The 19,877-nt window shown below is 37.3% G+C and overlaps 1 protein-coding gene across 7 annotated transcripts in view, besides 1 other annotated feature; it reads left to right on the top strand.

Moving 5' to 3' along the window:
- CTNNA3 (catenin alpha 3) overlaps positions 1 to 19,877 on the top strand; it is a 1,851,072-nt gene that overhangs the window by 884,180 nt on the left and 947,015 nt on the right. The gene's annotated exons all lie outside the window — the stretch shown is intronic.
- Positions 18,318 to 18,487: an enhancer, noted in NCBI's record as "experimental_15534 CRE fragment used in MPRA reporter constructs". NCBI's record gives its function as "activates a minimal promoter by MPRAs in K562 erythroleukemia cells, with activity observed for the introgressed 10:68620771 variant allele {active_cell/tissue: K562}" and the evidence as "EXISTENCE:reporter gene assay evidence [ECO:0000049][PMID:34662402]".

Below are 19,877 nucleotides of genomic sequence, written 5' to 3'. Positions count from 1 at the left end.
AATGTTAACATTATGATGGGATTTATACTTTTATTTCGAGTGTGAGGTCTGTGGCTTAGAAGTCTTAAGATGAATATTGTGATTCCTAGTGATACTATCTTTGCTTGGTTTTTATAAGCAGAGTTTTAAAGTCTTTTCATTAATGGCCCAGGCAAGTTCATGGTTCATAGTAGTAAATGTTGGTGCTGTATTATGCTTTAAATCAATGTCTTAATACCATGATTAGGAAGGGGCTACACAGGTAACAGCACAAGCCTTTGGAGCCAGACAGTTGTGGGTTCAAATCCTAGAACCTGCAACTAGTGGCTCTGTGGCTTTGGGGACTTGGCTGTCTTGAATGTGTTTCTGTAAAATGGTAAGAATAACTACCTCTATCACAGAATTGTTGAGATGATGAAATGACAAAGTCTACAAGACACTAATCACAGTGCCTGACAGTTATTGCTCAAAAATAGTTAATTTACCACTCACATTATTTAAGAAAATATAAATATCACTTTATTGGTTTGTACAAAGTCACATTTATCTTTCTGTAGTTTCTTTGCAAAACAGGCAGGTGGATGAATCTATTCACAAAGGGGGCTCTATCCAAAATAATTTTGGCAGTAGGTGTCCCACCAAAACTCACATGCTAGGGCCACTGTACAGGTATGAAAAAGCCACCTCTACTGGTCCAGTAGGGTGTTGGACCTGTTCCCTGTGGTGACTGCAGGGCCAGCCTGAATTATGAGAGAGATGGTTTATTGTGGGAGGAGACTGTGATGTGACGACCTTGACCACAGTTGCTCCTAGAATCAGGTAGGGTTATAATGGCTATGGACAGGCAGAGGGCAGCTCCATTTAGAACATCAAAATAAATGGTAAGAAAAAGTAATAAAAGGAAGACACTTTGGTTCATGCCCACTCTTGTTTGTTATGCTTCCTAGCAGATCAGCTGAATGAGAATTTAATTTGTTGTGAATACTGGCAGCGTGCTGGGGAAAAATGGAATTTACAAACGTTTTGAATTACCGTGAAGCTTGTGAAATTGTATGCACTGCTCTGTTTCATATGTTTTCATGGGTGTGATGCCTCGTTTCAATAGTGGGAGTTGAGGCTGCAAATAGTGGGGGTTGAGGCTGCCGTGAGCCGGATTTAGAACTCTATTGTATTCTAAAACATTTAACAGATTTATCTGAGTTTTAACGGACAAAAAACTTCAACAAGTATACAGAGAAAAATGTGGAAGATAGGATTTGATATCAAGTCCAAAATGCCCATTCATGGAAAAAAATGAAGGGACAATGGAAGTGGTGAGTGGTGATACTTTCTTCCTTTAATGTATCCAAGCTATTGCTTTCCTTTCCTGACTTCCGAAAACCGAGTGCCTGGCAAGAACTGCCAACGATTTATTGAAACTACATTTTCCTTACCCACCATAGAAACAAATCATTTCTGTAGTGGGTAAATTATACAAAGCACTAGTGCCTTAGCGACTTTAACAGTTTAGACTTTCAAACTTAATATTTCTAAGTTTTGAACATTATAAATCTCTATAAATCTGGATTATAAACAAACTTTCCTTGTCTCTGGGTTAGATCTGGGTACAAAAATAGAATCCATTTTCTTGCATTTTGCATAGGATCTAAAATTACTCTCCTAAGGTTGGAGTTTCCTATTTTTCTAAATCAAGACAAGAATAGAGGATATGGAATAAAAAGGGGTGATTCTAAACTGAGTTCAAAAGTCAGTAATTGAGAATGGTCATGAGGCCCGAAGCAGGAAAGCTGGATTTATTTTCTTAGAAAGACTTCCTCATTGCTTCCCTAGGAGCAATGTAAATGGCCATCTCACAGATAAATGGTGAGAGAATCTTATCAGGCTTCTAACTTGTCACTTTTCCTGGCTCCAGTGCAAGCATTGATAGGTGACAGTTCATGAGATAGTAATAAAAGGCAGCAGGCATTGGTGAAAGAGACGCTGGAGCCAGCATCAGAGCTGGAGTTAATCCCTGGCCCCAGTCCACTTCAAGAAAATATAATTCAGGTGAGAAGCAATGTGCCTGCTGTGCAAAAGAACAGTTTCAAGAGATGCTTCCTAGGTCTTCCCTATTAAACCCTCGCCATACCCTGATCCATCTATTTAGAAACTCTGAGGTTGGCATTACGTTTTGGGGCTTGGCCAATCTATTGGTTAGGAATTGCTAAGAATAGGCCAGAACACAGTGCCCAAACCCTTACCATACTGAGGTCCAGGATGGGGTCACAAAAGGAACACAGGCAGGATTTCTTATCAAAACAAGCTGGCCAACCATGAAGTAGGAGTGAGAGGAGGGAAAGACAGGTGCCAGGTGATGCAGAGGTAAGAAAGTCAGGCAGCTCAGTCCATTTCTCTGTCCTGAGCGTCTTCAGAGAAAGGCAGAGAGCAATACTGCTTTTTGAATTATGTGACTCAGGGCTTCCCAGGTAACTCACTCTAGTCTTTAAAAGAACAAAATAAACAAAACTGTTCTTGAGGAAAGCAAAGGTTTATGCAGAGAACCTAATAAGAATCTCCAGAGTTTGCATGTCACAGAACAACTGTTTATAAGTTACCTTTTTCCTCCTTATCTGTGCCTGGGGACTTCTCTTTCTTGTCTTTTTCCTCTTGTTCCTATTTCTGTTCCCTTGCTCCTGCTTGCTTGCCCATCTTTGCATTTCTTTACACCTGGCAGCAACCATACTCTTTCTTGATCCTGCTAAGGTTAAACATTGTTAGGGCCGAATTTAGAATTTCTCTAATTTAAAAAAAAATTCTAATAAGGCCCAGATTTCAATCATGGCTGCAGGTGAGTTGAAGACTATAACATATTCTAAAATTTGATTTGCATGGATATAAATGTGTATAAGGATATATCCACATTACATTCTTGACAAAAGTCATTCTAATGAATTATTGAAAGAATTAGGTCAAATAAGGATTGCATATTGTGTAGGCAGATGCATTTTAAAATGAAATAGTGACTTTTAGAAGTATCTGGTGACTCTTCAACAATACCTGGTTTTCCAAACAAAATTAATACAAAGGCTTTCTTTCAAATGTTCTTTATCTCAATTTCATTTAATTTCCTAGGAGAGTTAGTGATTTGCCTAGCACTTTCTGTTTCGTTGTTTATCCTAATATATGCTCAGTTTTCTGTTTAACTAGTTTGTTGTTGTTGCTTTTCTTTTCCGACAAGTTTTCAGAGCGGAATTCTTAGAAATGCTTAGTGAAGCTACCCTATGGCCCATTTTACCAACTATCAGATCTTTCCCTGAAGAAATAACAGTAAGGAAAATAGGAAAATATTTCCTGTTTCTTCTGGAAGAAGGCAGATATTTATTATGTATTCTGCTTAGTAATATCACTCCCTTAAGAGACTGAGGGCATGGTCTCAATTTTTCTTAAACAAGTCTTGGGCCTGCTTGATGTAACCTTTGGGGATTTAACACGTCAGCCAATGAGCCACACACCACAAATCTGTAGGCACCTGACACTGAAAAACAGCTAAGCATTTATACTGTACATAAAACTCTGAATGTGCTCTTATGCTTTAAGGACTCTTTTAATCCATAGGGTGTCTTAGCTATGATAGTGGTCTCTGAGCCAGTGGATGATTGCTTCTTTTTACTACTCTTTCTCCACAATAATTGCATGAATCGGATTGTCATGCCATAAGCACAGGAATAGGATACTTAACTGAGAATAATATCTCAAATGACATTTAAATGTTTTGCTCTGTGAGATTGGATTAGCAGATTTACTATTTTTTTTATTTTAAAGCTTTTTATTATGTTGTCGTATTATTGAATAACTACCTTCCATATGGTCCAATAATAATTAAGATGTTGGATTGATAGATTGAATCAGCAAGAGGCTTAAAGCAAGTGAGGCTTAACCTGTTTTGGTAGTTTTGATCACTTTTCTTATGCCATTTAAATACTATTGAATGATTTGGAACTGGTTGACTGATATTTTCCCTGTTTTCTGCTATTTACTTTCTTCTATTTTTTTTTTTTTTTAAATAACAGTGATTAAAAGCAAAAGTGACAAAATGGACACTGGTAATTCATTCAGTGTGATGAGAATCCATGAATAGGACCCAGGTTTATTTTTCAGCTGTAGCCTTTTGGGACAGTTATGTAACCACTATGTTCCTGGCCCTTCCTCATGTCTGCAGCTTCTCAACCTGCTCCTCTCCTATTTGTTCTCCACACGAAACTTCTCCCACATCTTTCTTCCCACCACTGGACTTTGTGTAATTTGTTTCTTCTGCTTTGGACATTCTTTCCTATCCTTATTACCTTCCAAATTCGTCATCAGCACCACTTGTCTAGCAATCGATTGCTGATCTCCCTGGCTGCATCTAATCCACCTATGATAGGATCTCATTACAGACTGCACTTGTCCTTCATAGCACTGTGGCAGCTGCAGTTTCAGGTTTGTTTGCGTGAACCTTGGCTAAAGTATTTCTTCCTACTAGACTGTAAGCCAAATGGAGGCAGAAGTAGGAATAGTGTCTGTTTCTGGTTCCCTAGCATGGATTCCAGCACAGAGTTTTACATATTTGTTGAATGAATAACATAAATGAACGAATAAACACAGCAGGTAAAGAAATGTGTAATTTTTGTTTGTTTTTAAGAGACAGAACCTTGTCAGTCTAGTACTTCACTTGGTCAAATACCTCTTTTGGTAGAAAAGAAAATTATATAGATTGGTATATACCAGGATGAATTCAGTTTAAAGAGAAAACATGAAATTCAGTAGAAATATTCTTTAAATTCTAAACAGAGAAATTGAAACGAAGTTATATTCATACTGCATGTGGGTATAGTTTTTTCTTACGTATATTTATGTATACATGTTTAAATATAATACCTTTACTTAACCACCTACTGTACACAGGCAATCAACTGGATGTTAGAGGGAAAACAAATAGCTAATATCTTTGCATAGGTACTGCAGTAGGTACTGTCACATATTTTATTACATTTATTTCTATAACAGTTCTTTTCTTTCAATATGACTCAGAGAGATTAATAATATTCCAAATATGACAAAACTTGTAAGAGGTTCAATTGGGAATTGTTCCTTTTTGCAGCCCTGTGAATACACCTAATGGTCCTCCAATTATGGAGGCGGTAGTTGGCCAGAGTTTCCAGCTGCTGAGCTCTGATATTCATCACTATGTTTGTACCCTGGCCATGCTCTCTGAGGGCTGTTCACAGACAATGACTGAGCACAGCAGGAGTTCTAAGGTACACTTGTTCCTGAGACTCATGGACCCCTCTCATTGAATGACTGTGACTTGAGGACTCCCAAATGGCTTTATTAACCTTCTTTAGAATGTGAATTCTAGGAGGCTCCCACCCAAACGTCCCTCACTGTCTCTGCATCAGACTTGAATCTGGTAGCTCTGGTACCTTTCCTACCCTGCTCAAAATGCTTACATGTTTAATCCTGTGTTGGCATCTGATTCTTGGAGAATCCAGACTAACTCATCCTTTCATCAAGAAGCCCCTGAGAAGAGAAGGAAATAAATAACAACTTAGACATAAGTTCTTTGCTAAGATCCATGTCAAGAAAGATATTTCCTAGGTTTTCTTCTAGATTTTTAATAGCCTGAAGTCTTACGTTTAACTCTTTAATCCATCTTGAGTTAATTTTTGTGTGTGGTGAAAAGTAGGGGTCCAGTTTCATTATACTGCCTATGGCTAGCCAGTTATCCCAGCACCATTTGTTGAATGGGGGCGTCCTTTCTCCTTTGCTTATTTTTGTTGAATTTGTTGAGGATCAGATGGTTGTAGTTATGTGGCTTTATTTCTGGGTTCTTTGAAACAAGCAAAAACCAAATTACTCCATTAAAAAATGGACAGAGGGCAAGAACAGACACTTCTCAAAAGAGGACTTACAAGATGCCAACAAACATGAAAAAAAAAGTTCATTGTCACTAAACATCAGAGAAATGCAAATCAAAACCACAATGAGACACCATCTCACACCAGTCAGAATGGCTATTATTAAAAAGTAAAAAAAAAACAAAAAACAAACAAACAAAAAAACCAGATGCTGTTGAGGCTGCAGAGAAAAGGAAATGCTTATACACTGTTGGTGGCAATATAAATTAGTTCAGCCACTGTGGAAAGCAGTTTGGAGATTTCTTAAAGAACTTAAAGCAGAACTACCATTTGAACCAGCAATTTCATGACTGGGTATATATACCCAAAGGTATCATTCTACCAAAAACATACGTGCACTCCTCTGTTCATCACAGCACTATTCACAATAGCAAAAACATGAAATCAACCTAGGTGTGCATCCATGGTGAATTGGGATAAAGAAAATGTGGTAATATACATCGTGAAATACTATGTAGCTATAAGAAACAATGAAATTATGCCCTTTGCAGCATTACGGATGCAGCTGGAGGCCATTATCTTAAGTGAATTAACACAGGAACAGAAAACCAAATATCAGATGTTCTCACTTACAAGTGGGAGCTAAACACTGAGTGTACATGGACATAAAGATGGCAACAGTAGACACTGAGGACTGCTAGACAGGGAAGGGAAGGAGGGGAGTATGGGCTGAAAAACTACCTATGGGGACTATGCTCACTGCCTCAGTGACAGGAATATCCACACCCTAGATGTCAGCATCACACAATCTACCCATGTAACAAACCTTCACGTGTACCACCTGAATCAAAAATAAAAGTTGAAATTATTATTATTATTATTATTATTTTTGAGACGGGGTCTCGTTCTGTCACCCAGGCTAGAGTGCAGTGGCACAATCTCGGCTCACTGTAACCTCCACCTTTGGGGTTTAAGTGATTCTCCTGCCTCAGCCTCCTGAGTAGCTGGGATTACAGGCACCCGCCACCATGCCCAGCTAATTTTTGTATTTTTAGTAGAGATGGGGTTTCACCATGATGGCCAGGCTGGTTTTGAACTCCTGAGCTCAGACAATCCACCTGCCTCGGCCTCCCAAAATACTAGTATTACAGGTGTGAGCCACTGAACCCAGCGAAAATTATTTTTTTGAAAAATAACATAAACTCTAGAATCAGAAAAATCTCAATTTGTGTCCTGATGTTTATAATTAATAGCTGTGTGAAATTAAGAAAGTTTTTAACCTCTGTGAGTCTTGCTTCCTCATACATAAAATGTGGTTAACAACACCTGCAGCATGGATAAAATAAGATTATTTATGCAAAGAGCAAAAACAAAAAATAAATTGCTTCTCCAAATAAGCAAAGATCATGAAGATTAGGATTTGGGCATTTTAATGGATGTTTAGTTCCCAGGTGGATAGACATTTTAAAAGTATGTTACGGAGGGTTTTGTTATAAAATCACCTATTTTCATTGGGCTATAAAATGAATTTGGCTGATAGTGTTTCAATAGAGAATATAGTCTCAGAATTTATACCTTGTGCAGTGCTAATATAGATAATACTATAGTTGTGTGCAAAATTTATTGGTCAGAATATTTTTGTCCAGTAAAGATGAAGATTGATTTGACTGAGTCAGAAATACTTGCATGAAATTTATCGTATAAAATTATGAGATAGTAGCATAGTCAAAGAAAATTATCCTTTTAAACTCTGGCATTTATGATTATTTCAAAATCCCTAATAGATGCCAGTTATTGATGAGTTCTCCTCTCTGACATTTATCTTTCTGTGGTTGTTCAATGTAAAGATTCCAGAACAGTACATGTACTTCAACAGCACTTCATTTTGTAAGTTTGTCGCTTTTATCTCCAAATTTTGATGGGAATTCTTTGTCCATATGTACTTAATATTAGAAAAACATATTGTTGAGTACTTTTTTTTTTTTTTTTTTTTTTTTGAGACAGAGTTTCACTCTTGTTGCCCAGGCTGGAGTGCAGTGGTGCGATCTCAGCTCACCGCAACCTCCGCCTCCCAGGTGCAAGAGATTCTCCTGCGTCAGCCTCCCGAGTAGCTGGGATTACAGGCACCCACCACCATGCCCATCTAATTTTTTGTGTGTTTTTAGTAGAGACAGGGTTTCTCCAGGTTGGTCAGGCTGGTCTCGAACTCCCAACCTCAGGTGATCCTCCAGCCTTAGCCTCCCAAAGTGCTGGGATTACAGGCATGAGCCACCGCGCCCAGCCTAAATTTCTTTGTATAAAGCAGAGTGATAGCTTAAATCAGAGAATACAAATTACCTGATGATGCTCTCCTGGTGTTTATATGATTTTCTTCAACCTAAGATGGTCAGCTTTATTCGCCCTCTGCTTTCTGCCAATGAGTTTTACAGAAGTAATTTAGCTCTCTAAACAAGCAATCAAGCAAACAAACAAACAAACACATGAACAAAACCAGCAGAGCAAAACAAACCAGCAACAAAGCCCTTTTTCTAAAATGCAATTCATAATAGTTTTATTGAAATGTAGAAGTCAGCAGCTTCTGCCTTCAGTCCACAGTGCATCAACTGGTTTCCCTTGAACTTTTGCATAGTGGTTTTTTAGCTCTGTGTAGACTCCTCAGGACAATGGTGAGGGTGTTCCAAACAAAAGCACTTCTGACTTTGTTGTTGAATTTAGGTATGAGAATCTATGGTCAAAGGGCCCTACAAAGAAAATCATAAACAAATGTGCAGCAAAGGAAAAAATTTGAACTGCACATTTACAATAATGGCTTCTGATACACTTAGTACCTCTTGAGTGGGAGTTAGGCATCAGTGTGTGGAGTAACAATAGGAATAATCAATGAACAGAGGAGAGATGGTGAAATTAGATTAAGCAGAAAAACATGGCTAAAGCTTAGAATGTTCACCAATATTATGAAGTCCAAAAATTCTTCAATTTCCCATTGAAGAATATGAAATTTGTTCACAGCATTTGGGGTGATACTGAATTTGACTGAATAGTTAATAAGATGGTAAAGTTAGCACACAAGTGAGTATGTTTGCAATATATTTTGCCTTTATTTGTTTTTCTCATAGGACAAAGGAAATTGAATTATATTAGATTGTGTAGGATAATGTATGCTATTGTAAATTCCCAAGTTTTGCAGTAAATTTAACATTACAATAAAATATTGTCCATTAATAGCCGTAGCAAAACATCCGTTGGTATAGTTTACTGCATCATTGCGTTTTTGCAAATCTGAAGTGGAGAATAGGATAGTAATGACTAGCATCAGAAATTGTTGCTAATTTCCTAATTTGCATATTGTATCTCTAACAAACTGGATTGTCAGTTTATAGGAGACACCAAATGTTCATATAATGAAGTTTAAAAAAAAATTCTCAGCTGAAACATGGCCTAGGTGCTTGGCCAAGCTGGGTGGTACGATGTTTCCTTGGGATACTGCCATGGTAAATCCTATAAAAATTTTAAACCCTTTTAATTGGAATTATCAAATGTTAACCTGACAGTAGTATGTTAGAAGTGAATATAGTGTTGTGAAATATTAGTAGTCTTGGTTTTTAAATCAATATTTTATGATTACAGGTAAGTTAAAGAAAAAAGACTAATATAGCAACATTGCTTTGAGGTCTATGTGTGGTACATGGTTCCTGACACTTCTAACATTTCTAAAATGCCTTGGGTTACACTCAGCTATTATACTTGGCAGACAGGATGAATGCCAACACAAAGAGAAGTTTGACTTTATTCAAGATGATACACTTAGCCTCTCACACCTCTGTATGTACTTGTTCTCTAATCTGCCTCCAGAATCAATATAAATGCTTTTATTCATGCCCCAAATAATCTCCAACCTGACCCCAGTTTGTCTCCTCTACTACTTACCTCCTGCACCAGCCTTCTGATTGTTCTTTTATTTTATTTATTAATTTAATTTAATGTATTGAGACAAAGTCTCACTCTATTACCCAGGCTGCAGTGCAGTGGCATGATCTTGGCTCACTGCAACCTCCGCCTCCCGGGTTCAAGTGATTCTCATGTCTCAGCCTCCTGAGTAGCTGGGATTACAGGTGTGCACCACCACACTGGGCTAATTTTTGTATTTTAATACAGATGAGGTTTCACCATGTTGTTCAGGCTGGTCTTGAAAAACAAGAGCCTCGGCCTCCCAAAGTGCTGAGTTGCAGGTGTGACCACCACACCCAGCCCTGATTGTTCTTTTAAATTAACTATATCCGGTCTCATCACAGCCATGTAGCTCATGCAGTTTCTCTTGCCATCTCATCCCTGTTCTAATATTTGAGGACATGACAAAAAATATAAATCAGGCAGACCATAATTATATAGTGTTTTTATTGGCTTATACAGCACTTAATTGTTTGAGTTAATTGACACTATTTAAAAAGTCAGTATTTGTTACATGTCAAACTAGAATTCTAGATTCTCTTGAAAAATTTGGTAACACTGTAGGTACCTTCCTACCCAGCAATATTCAGCTGACTTTGATAGGCATTTGAGTTTGCAACCTGTGAATTTACATTTTGTCTCTTATTTAAGGCCCATGGTGTTTCATTTTCTCCAGAAAAGTTTTTCTGTTTCTTCTAGCATTTTAAAACTCCTATGAGCTCATCATCTCTAACTTTTATTTAGCTTTTAGCACTAATGCTTCATAGTGTCAAGTGCATTTTGTGTGCCATTTTGTCTCCTCTATGCTCACAGTAAGTTTTTTGAAGGTAGGCACTTTGTCTGATTTTTTTTTTTTTTTTTGAGACGGAGTCTCATTCTGTTGCCCAAGCTGGAGTGCAATGGTTTGATACTGGCTCACTGCAACCTCTGCCTTCTGGGTTCAGGCGATTCTCCTGCCTCAGCCTCCTGAGTAGCTGGGATTACAGGCACCCACCCCTATGCCTGGCTAATTTTTGTATTTTTAGTAGAGATGGGGTTTCACCATGTTGGCCATGCTGGTCTCGAACTCAACCTCAAGTGATCCACCTGCCTCGGACTCCCAAAGTGCTGGGATTACAGGCGTGACCAACTGTGCCTGGCCTTGTTTGACTCTTTATGTCAACACACAGAGCCCAGGACAGTGCAGCTCTGCTCTGCCAGTGTTTGTCTATTAATTACAGTTTTTTTTATTTTTTTTTTAATTTTTGCGACAGAGTTTTGCTCTTGTTGCACAGGCTGGAGTGCAATGGCGCGATCTCGGTTCACTGCAACCTCTGCCTCCTGGGTTTCAGCAATTCTCCAGCCTCAGCCTCCGGAGTAACTGGGATTATAGGTGCTAGCTACCACACCCCCATGCCCGGCTATGTTTTGTATTTTTAGTAGAGATGGGGTTTTACCATGTTGGTCAGGGTGGTCTTGAACTCCTGACCTCAGGTGATCCACCTGTCTCAGCCTCCCAAAGTGCTGGGATTACAGGCATGAGCCACCATGCCTGGCTAATTATAGTTTTATATAGCAATCATTATTATTATCATAAATACTCAAATACCTTCAGTGTATCTAGTAGGCCCACTCCTTAATGAAAGTACATGCTAATATTAAAAACATTCAAATTTAAAGCAGAAAAATATTTGGCATTTTGCAATTCTTCCTACTAAGTTAATTTTTTTTTTTTTTGGTAGTGCCTTGGCTTAATCTGTAATGGTAAAAAGTTTTTGTGTGGCAGACACGTGAAGAGAATGACAATTGGAACTATTCTTTTTAAATGTAAATGTGTATCTGTACATTGAAAAATATTGATTTTAAGAGATATAGTAGACTCATATTGCATGTTCAGAGTATTTTGTTTATTTTGTTCATTGATACTTGCTTTTTGTTCCCAATAACGACATGGTGAGGCTTGAACTTAGACGTGAGAGCTATTTTTTATTTCAGTCTCGGCTAGAAGAGCAATCTACCTCAGAAAATAGAGGCGAGGAGTCAGGTGCTTTATGTTCTTCCTCTCTGTACCCTCATCCTCTGAAGCCAAAGTTACACTCCATAAAAATAACACAGAATGTGAGAGCTAATAGAGCCTCAGTTTATCCTTCTTTGTATCTCCCCCTGGAATGTCCTGGGCAGTGCCTTATTTCCCATTTGCAAATGTGAGGACAATATGCAATTAAGAGCTTCAACCTTGTCATTGGTTTGGTGTTAGTCAATTAATAACTTTCTGTGAATTATTCAATAGAAACAAAATAAAAGCATGTCCACCCTGTGGAACCTCAGGACAGAAACCCAGAGGAGCATTTACTTAATAACAAAATGCTAATACACATGGAGTTTTTGAGTTGTTTCAGAGAGAAAACTTGCATGCTGAAGATAATGAAAATGTATATAGTTATTGTATTATTCTGTTTTCACACTGCTGATGAAGACATACCTGAGACTGGGTAATTTATAAAGAAAAAGATGTTTAATGGACCCACAGTTCCACGTGGCCAGGGAGGCTTCACAATCATGTGAGAAGGTGAAAGGCACATCTTACATGGCAGCAGACAAGAGAGAAAATGAGAGCCAAGGGAAAGGAGAAACCCCTTATAAAACCATCAGATCTCATGAGACTTATTCACCACCATGAGAGCAGTATGGAGGAAACCACCTCTATGATTCAATTATCTCTCATCAGGTTCCTCCCACAATATCTGGGAATTATGGGAGCTACAATTTAAGATGAGTATGGGAGAGGACACAGCCAAACCATATCAGTCATGTTAGTTTTCTGTCTATCAGCTATTCTTTTTCTTTTTTTATTTTTCCTTTTCACTAGTGTTTGAGTTAGGATAATTTTGCTATAAATGAAATTTCATCATTTAAACAGTTCTGCCATGGGAGTGCCAGAAAATTTATAATACCTCGTGGCTCCTACCCAATACCCTACAATTACCATTCAGTGTGAGTTCTTGGTAGATGTGTACATAACACATTTTATATTTTGTAGAGTCAAATAAAATACGTGTTTCAAATATTAAGTCTCAATTTTGCAATAAGGTATTCAACCAGTTGTCATTAGGTCAACATTCATTGTGTATCCACAAAATAGATGAGGAGACAATTACTTATTTTTGTAAAATGGTCACAAAAGTTGCACAAAATAAAAGCCTCCAAAAAGCTAGATGTTGAGCAATTATGATGATGCGTAGGCAACATTCTAAGCTCTAGTGGAGGATGCAAAGGTGAAGACCTAATCTCTTTCTTCAGAGATCTCACAATCAAGGGAAGAAGATAAAAAACAAAAGCAGATCATTGAAAACACAGTCCTATAAGTGCTGAACTGAGTATCCTCTTGGTATAGAAGGACAAGGCCCTGTACTGACAGGCAGGAGTCCTGAGGTTAGGCTGTGTCCTGCTGTTAACTAGCTTTGTGACTATGTGAAGTAACTGAACTAGCTTTGTGACTATGTGAAGTCAGTCAAATTCCCAGGACATCATTTTCTCAAGGTGTAGTGTTAGGTGGATATGACCTAGATAACCTTTATATTTATTTTAATTTCTTTGATTTTTTTGCATTTCTGTGATTCCATATTTAGGTATAGGCAATTAAGAGTATAGATAAGAATGTATAAAGCTATAAATAAAATTAACACATTACAAATCAATAATATTAAGGGTAAAAGCAAAACGTAAATTTTATTTTTCCTAAAACCACCTGAAAAAATGCATATTACATATTACTTTTATTCAAATGTTCAACTTATGGTGTATTTTAATAATATACCATCTCTATGCAGAATCACTGTCAAATTTTCCCCTTAAGAATATAATCTTCTCTTTGATATCTAGTGATTTGAGCTAAAAATAAATATTGTTAAAATCAATACTAAATAATGTGGATAGCTGAAAATGAAAAAGGAAATATCTTGTGTGAATACATCTTCTGTGATTTTTTCCATTACGTTTACATATTTTATATAATATAATTGCATATGGCAATTATTTGATTACATAAATTGTGCCAAGAGCATAATTAAGTATAATTATGAAAATATGAAAATTATATGCATAAAGTGGCTAATTAAAATTTATTTCAAGGAATCGAGAATATTCAGCAAGAAAAAACACATTAATGAAACATTGTGGTTGTGATAAAAGCACACATACTCGAATTTACTGTTCAGGACTGATTCTCTGATTATTTACTGACAAAATGCTGGCACCTTTATATTTATGTCTTTTTAACATGATGATAGAAATACGTACTCTGACCGTATTTCTACTATGTAGCTTGCATAAAATATGGTCAATGAAAATTTGCCTGGAGTAAAATGATACTTCCTTTTGGAACTGCATTTACACACACACACACACACACACACACACGCACACACACACACCCCATGCCTGTTAAATGATAGCATTCATAAATGTTAGACTCATAAAGAACATTAACAATCTACTTCAATATCTGTATTTTATAAGTATGGAAAAATGATGTCTTAAGAGGTTAAATGATTTTTTTGGTGTCATCCCAACAGTTGCATAATTGGGACCCTCAATCCTTTTCTCTTTCCAATATTTTATGGTTTTTCTCTAAAATATGCCACTCTAACTGCTGAGGAGAAAAAGCAAAACAATTTCATTATCCTATAAAATATCTAAATGTATACAATTCCGTATTTTAATATAACAATCATTTTTATAACAGACATTTTATATTGCATTTTCATGGGCATAAAAAGAATATATATGTATTTTAGGTTTTCTATGTATATTGGGAAGCTATTTAATTTATCTAAGTCTACATAAAATATCTAAAAGCTACATCTATGTTAATGAGCACTCTATAACAGAATTTGAGTATGAGACGTTCTATTGCAGTGTTTGCAATGTTGCAAAATAGAAACTTTTTTTTTATAGATAATGAAACCAAAATAAATTATTTCAGATCAAGATAGAAAATAGGGATGACTAGCTAGAGTCAAATTTCAAGTTAAGGTTAGCCTACAAAATATAATTATCAGAATAATTTCTTTAGTGTATGTTAATATGATGTCCTAGCTCATTTTGTTTTGCTATAACAGAAGCCCACAGACCAGGTAATTTATACAGAAAAGAAATTTACTTCTGATAGTTCTGGAGGATGGGAGAACTAATATCAAGGTGCTGTCCTCTGATGAGGGCCTTCTTACTATGTCATTACATGGGAAGGTGGAAGGGGAGGAGAGTACAAGAGAAGGTGAGCAAGAGGGGGCAAAATTTACATTGATAACAAACTCACTCTCATGATAACTAACTAATTCCCATGGTAACTAACCAACTCCTGTGATAACAACATTAATCCTTTGTTCAGAGCTCTCCTGACCTAATCCCATTTTATTAGGCCCCACCTCCCAACACTGTTGCATTGGACATTAAGTTTCCAACACATGATCTTTGGGAAACATATTCCAACCATAGCATATGAGCTATCTGCCTATTAGATCTATATAATCTAAAAACAATAATGGCATAGAAAATCATACACATTAATCACATACTTGAATAACCTTAATATGACTCATGAAATAAGTAAAGCAGCTTATGATTTGGTAGGATTTTGGTAGAAATTGACACAAAATAAACAGAAAAGCTGTTAATTACCTCAATGCCATTTCTACATATGACTGAATTCTGTGATAAACTATATTTTGTTAGGTGCTATATGAATTATGAAATATTTCTTACCAACTATGTGAGATGACCCCCGTTTCTGAAGAAATCTTCTATGTCCACACCAGATCACTAGGAGGTCTCCTCCTAGTGACACAATTAGACACCCTGTTGCTAAATTTCACTCTCAACTTCTGACTAACATGCCTGATTGCTTATTCAACCTCCCTACTTGCTTTTCCAGTACATTTCTCAAAATAAAATGCTCTAAAGCTGAACTTCAAATTAGCCCTGCAAATCAGCTCAAGCCATTCCCATCTCAGAAACTGAAAACTCTATTCCTCCAGTTTTGGCCCAAGGACAAAAGGCCTGTGAGATAATTTTCAACTTATTTCATCTTCTCCAGCTCCTCATCAGCAAATCCTGTTGGCTCAATCTTCAAATATATATGGACTTTCACTAATTTTCACTACATCTACCACTACCTCCCTAGTAAAAGCCACAAATTTGTCTCTTGCCTGGATTATTGCAAAGCTTCTTAGCTACTCTCCCTGATTTTATCCCTGTCCCATCCCACTGCAGTCTGACCATGCCATATAGCGGATGATTTTTTAAATAGTAAGTAGAACATACTACTCCTAAGCTTCTGTATTAGTCAGGGTTCTTCAGAGAAACAGAACTAATAGGATGAATACATATATTATATATTGTATTATATATATATATGTGTGTGCGTGTGTGTGTGTGTGTGTGTGTGTGTGTGTAAAGAATTGGCTCATGTGATTATGGAGGCTAATTTACAAGAACTGCAGGTGAGTCAGCAAGATGGAGTCCCAAGAAAGTCAATGATGTCCTTCCAGTCTGAGTCCAAAGGTTTAAGAACAAGAAAAATGGATGTGTCATTGCAGTCTCAAGGATGGCTGGCTTGCAGCTCAAGCAGAGCTGATGTTTCAGTTTGAGTTCAAAGGCAGGAGAAAGCTACTGTCTCAATTCACAGGTAGTCAGGAGGCAAAAGTTTTCCTTACTTTGGGAAAGGGCAGACTTTTGTTATTTAAGCCTTCAACTGATTGGATATGGCCCACCCACCTTAGGGAAGTCAATCTGCTTTATGCAATCTACCAATTCAAATATTAATCTCGGCCAGTAACCCACCTTCACAGAAATGCTCAGAATGATATTTGATCAAACAGCTGGGAACCATTGTTCTAGTCACATTAACACGTAAAATTAACCATGTCAGCTCCAAACTTCTCGAATTTCATCTTTTACTACTGTCCTCCACTCCTTTTCTGCTCCAGTAATTCTGTCTTTCTTGCTTCTCATTTTTTCCCAGCACACTTTGGTCTTCAAACTTTGTTAGCTTTTTTCTCTCTCTAGAATAGTCTTCTCTTTGATAATGACCTTCTTGCTACCTTCAAGTCTCTGTTCCATATCCCCTCCACAAACAGGCCTTTGTTGACCATCATTCTAGAGTAGTATCCCCTGCCCTAGTCACTCTCTGTATCTATTAATGTATGTTATTTTTATTCATACCTCATATTTTTATCTGACATACAGTAAATCCTCACTTAACATCACTGATAAGTTCTTAGAAACTGTAACTTTAGGCAGCATACATATAATGAAAGCCAATTTTATCACAAAGCTAATTGATATAAACAGGAGTTAAGATTTTAAGCATATTTCTGGTCACAAAAACATCACCAAACTTCTTTTTGTTTTTTTCTTTTTGAGACAGTGTCTCGCTCTGTTGCCCAGGTTGGAGTGCAGTGGCGTGATCTCAGCTCACTGCAACCTCCACATCCTGGCTTCAAGTGATTCTCCTGCCTCAGCCTCCCGAGCAGCTGGGACTACAGCATGTGCCACCACACCTGGCTAATTTTTGTATTTTTAATAGTGACGGTTTTTCACCATATCAGTCTGGCTGATCTTGAACTCCTGACCTCAGGTCATAAGCCTTCCTTGGCCTCCCAAAGTGCTGGGATTACAGGTGTGACCCACAGTGGCTGGCTAACATCACCAAACTTCTAAAGAAATAACCCACACCACTTCTAATATTAAACATTGAAATGAATGTGAGATATACATACATTTAAGAAATATTAAAGAAACAAGTAAGATAATTATTTACCCAAATTTTGGTGAATCAGTGAGTGATGGTGGTCATAGTGGTGGGTTAAATCAAGGAATAATTGTCTGAAAAGTGAAAATTGTAAGAAGCACCTCCTACCACCACACAGCTCAAAAACAAACAACAAATATGATGGGCTCAGTAAGCACTTTTGTGCCACATCATTTATTATTGTAGGGTTGTATGATTATCACATAATTTATGAATTTTTACAATATGTATCCATCTATCCATTCATTCATTTACTCATTTTTCAACCTGCTTATTCTAGTTCAGGGTCTGAGATGGCTGGAGTGTCACCCAGCAGCTCAGGCACAAGGCAGGAAGCAGCCCAGGACAGGACCCCATTCCATTACATGCAGGGCTCACTCACACACACCCATGCTCATTCATACGGGGACAGTTTTAATATGTCAGTGAACCGAATGTGCACAGCTTTGGGATGTGGGGGAAACTGGTGTACCCAGAGAAAACACATGCAGACATGGGCAGAACGTGCAAACTCCACACAGACAGTGGCCCCAGTGGGAAGTTCCTTATCAATGTTGTAACAAAACAATGTTGACCAAGAACAATATTATTCAAGGTTCTACTGTAATTCCTATTTGTTTATTGTTGTTTTTAATGCAAGTTCTTTTAGGGCAGTGACTGCCTTTATTCATCATAGCACCCTCAGTATTCATCATAGTATCCTAACACAGTGTCTAGGACATTTTATTGTATGAATAACTTTAAAGGAATCATTTGTATATGAATGTTTAAGAAGACATGACTGCAATGAATTCCCTGAGACCACATTTTCAGGGTATCCCTGGCCTCCCCCATGAGAGAGGAGAAGGCTATTAAGTGAACCAAGAAAGATAATTAGAATCTGATCATTGAGTTCTTCCCTGGGCTATGAGGTGGGCCATTTATCCAGCTTGAATGGTTTCTGTGAAAGCAACAGATAGGGTTTACAATGTGGTTACATTGAGGCATATATGAGTTTGAATATTTACAAAAAATTTATTGGAGAGGAAAGCTGGATAGATGCAATCCTAGATTGTGCCTATAAAAATTTCATGTACTCTCAGTGTAAACAAATAATTTATATAACCACAACAGGAAAGGATTAGAGACAGTTTAATGGTTGTGATTGTCTTATGTATAGCAAATACTGCAATGGCATAGATACTCATAAAAAGGTGAGGGCCGCTTATACACAGGAACAGAGAAACATTGCTTAGAAAACACAAGCACCTGAGTAGACACCTGTCAAAACAAGAGCCATGAGGGAGACTGCTGCTAGCATTTTAATACCCCCATTACTTCTGCCGACTGTAGAATTTGCCATCTGTTTGTTATATTTTTGAATGAGGTTGGTCCTTACAAGTGCTGTCAATATATTAAGATTTAATAAGGAAGTCCCAAAATCCAGGCCTCCATGTTGGAAATAAACTTTGATATTTTTGTAGGTTTTTCGATGTTTTTACAAAGAAGCAAGTAATTTTTCTTCTTCGCTATTAGATTTCAAGAGAAATGGCATTTCTTGATTTTGGCAAGAAATTCTGCCAGATTATTTCTAAAGTCCATTCAAATTGTAAGAAGTCAATTCTTTTAGATTATCTCTAAAGTGCCTTCAAATTCTTTTTATTTTATTTTATTATTATTATACTTAAAGTTTTAGGGTACATGTGCACAATGTGCAGGTTAGTTACATATGTATACATGTGCCATGCTGGTATGCTGCACCCATTAACTCATCATTTAGCATTAGGTATATCTCCTAATGCTATCCCTCCCCCCTCCCCCCACCCCACAACAGTCCCCAGAGTGTGATGTTCCCTTTCCTGTGTCCATGTGTTCTCATTGTTCAGTTCCCACCTATGAGTGAGAACATGTGGTGTTTGGTTTTTTGTCCTTGCGATAGTTTACTGAGAATGATGATTTCCAATTTCATCCATGTCCCTACAAAGGACATGAACTCATCATTTTTTATGGCTGCATAGTATTCCATGGTGTATATGTGCCACATTTTCTTAATCCAGTCTATCGTTGTTGGACATTTGGGTTGGTTCCAAGTCTTTGCTATTGTGAATAGTGCCGCAGTAAACATACGTGTGCATGTGTCTTTATAGCAGCATGATTTATAGTCGTTTGGGTATATACCCAGTAATGGGATGGCTGGGTCACATGGTATTTCCAGTTCTAGATCCCTGAGGAATCTCCACACTGACTTCCACAATGGTTGAACTAGTTTACAGTCCCACCAACAGTGTAAAAGTGTTCCTATTTCT

Source organism: Homo sapiens, chromosome 10 (assembly GCF_000001405.40).
Source record: "Homo sapiens chromosome 10, GRCh38.p14 Primary Assembly".
Taxonomy (NCBI): Eukaryota; Metazoa; Chordata; class Mammalia; order Primates; family Hominidae; genus Homo; species Homo sapiens.
The sequence above is the reverse complement of the archived record's forward strand: the minus strand, read 5'-3'. Positions and strand labels throughout refer to the sequence as shown.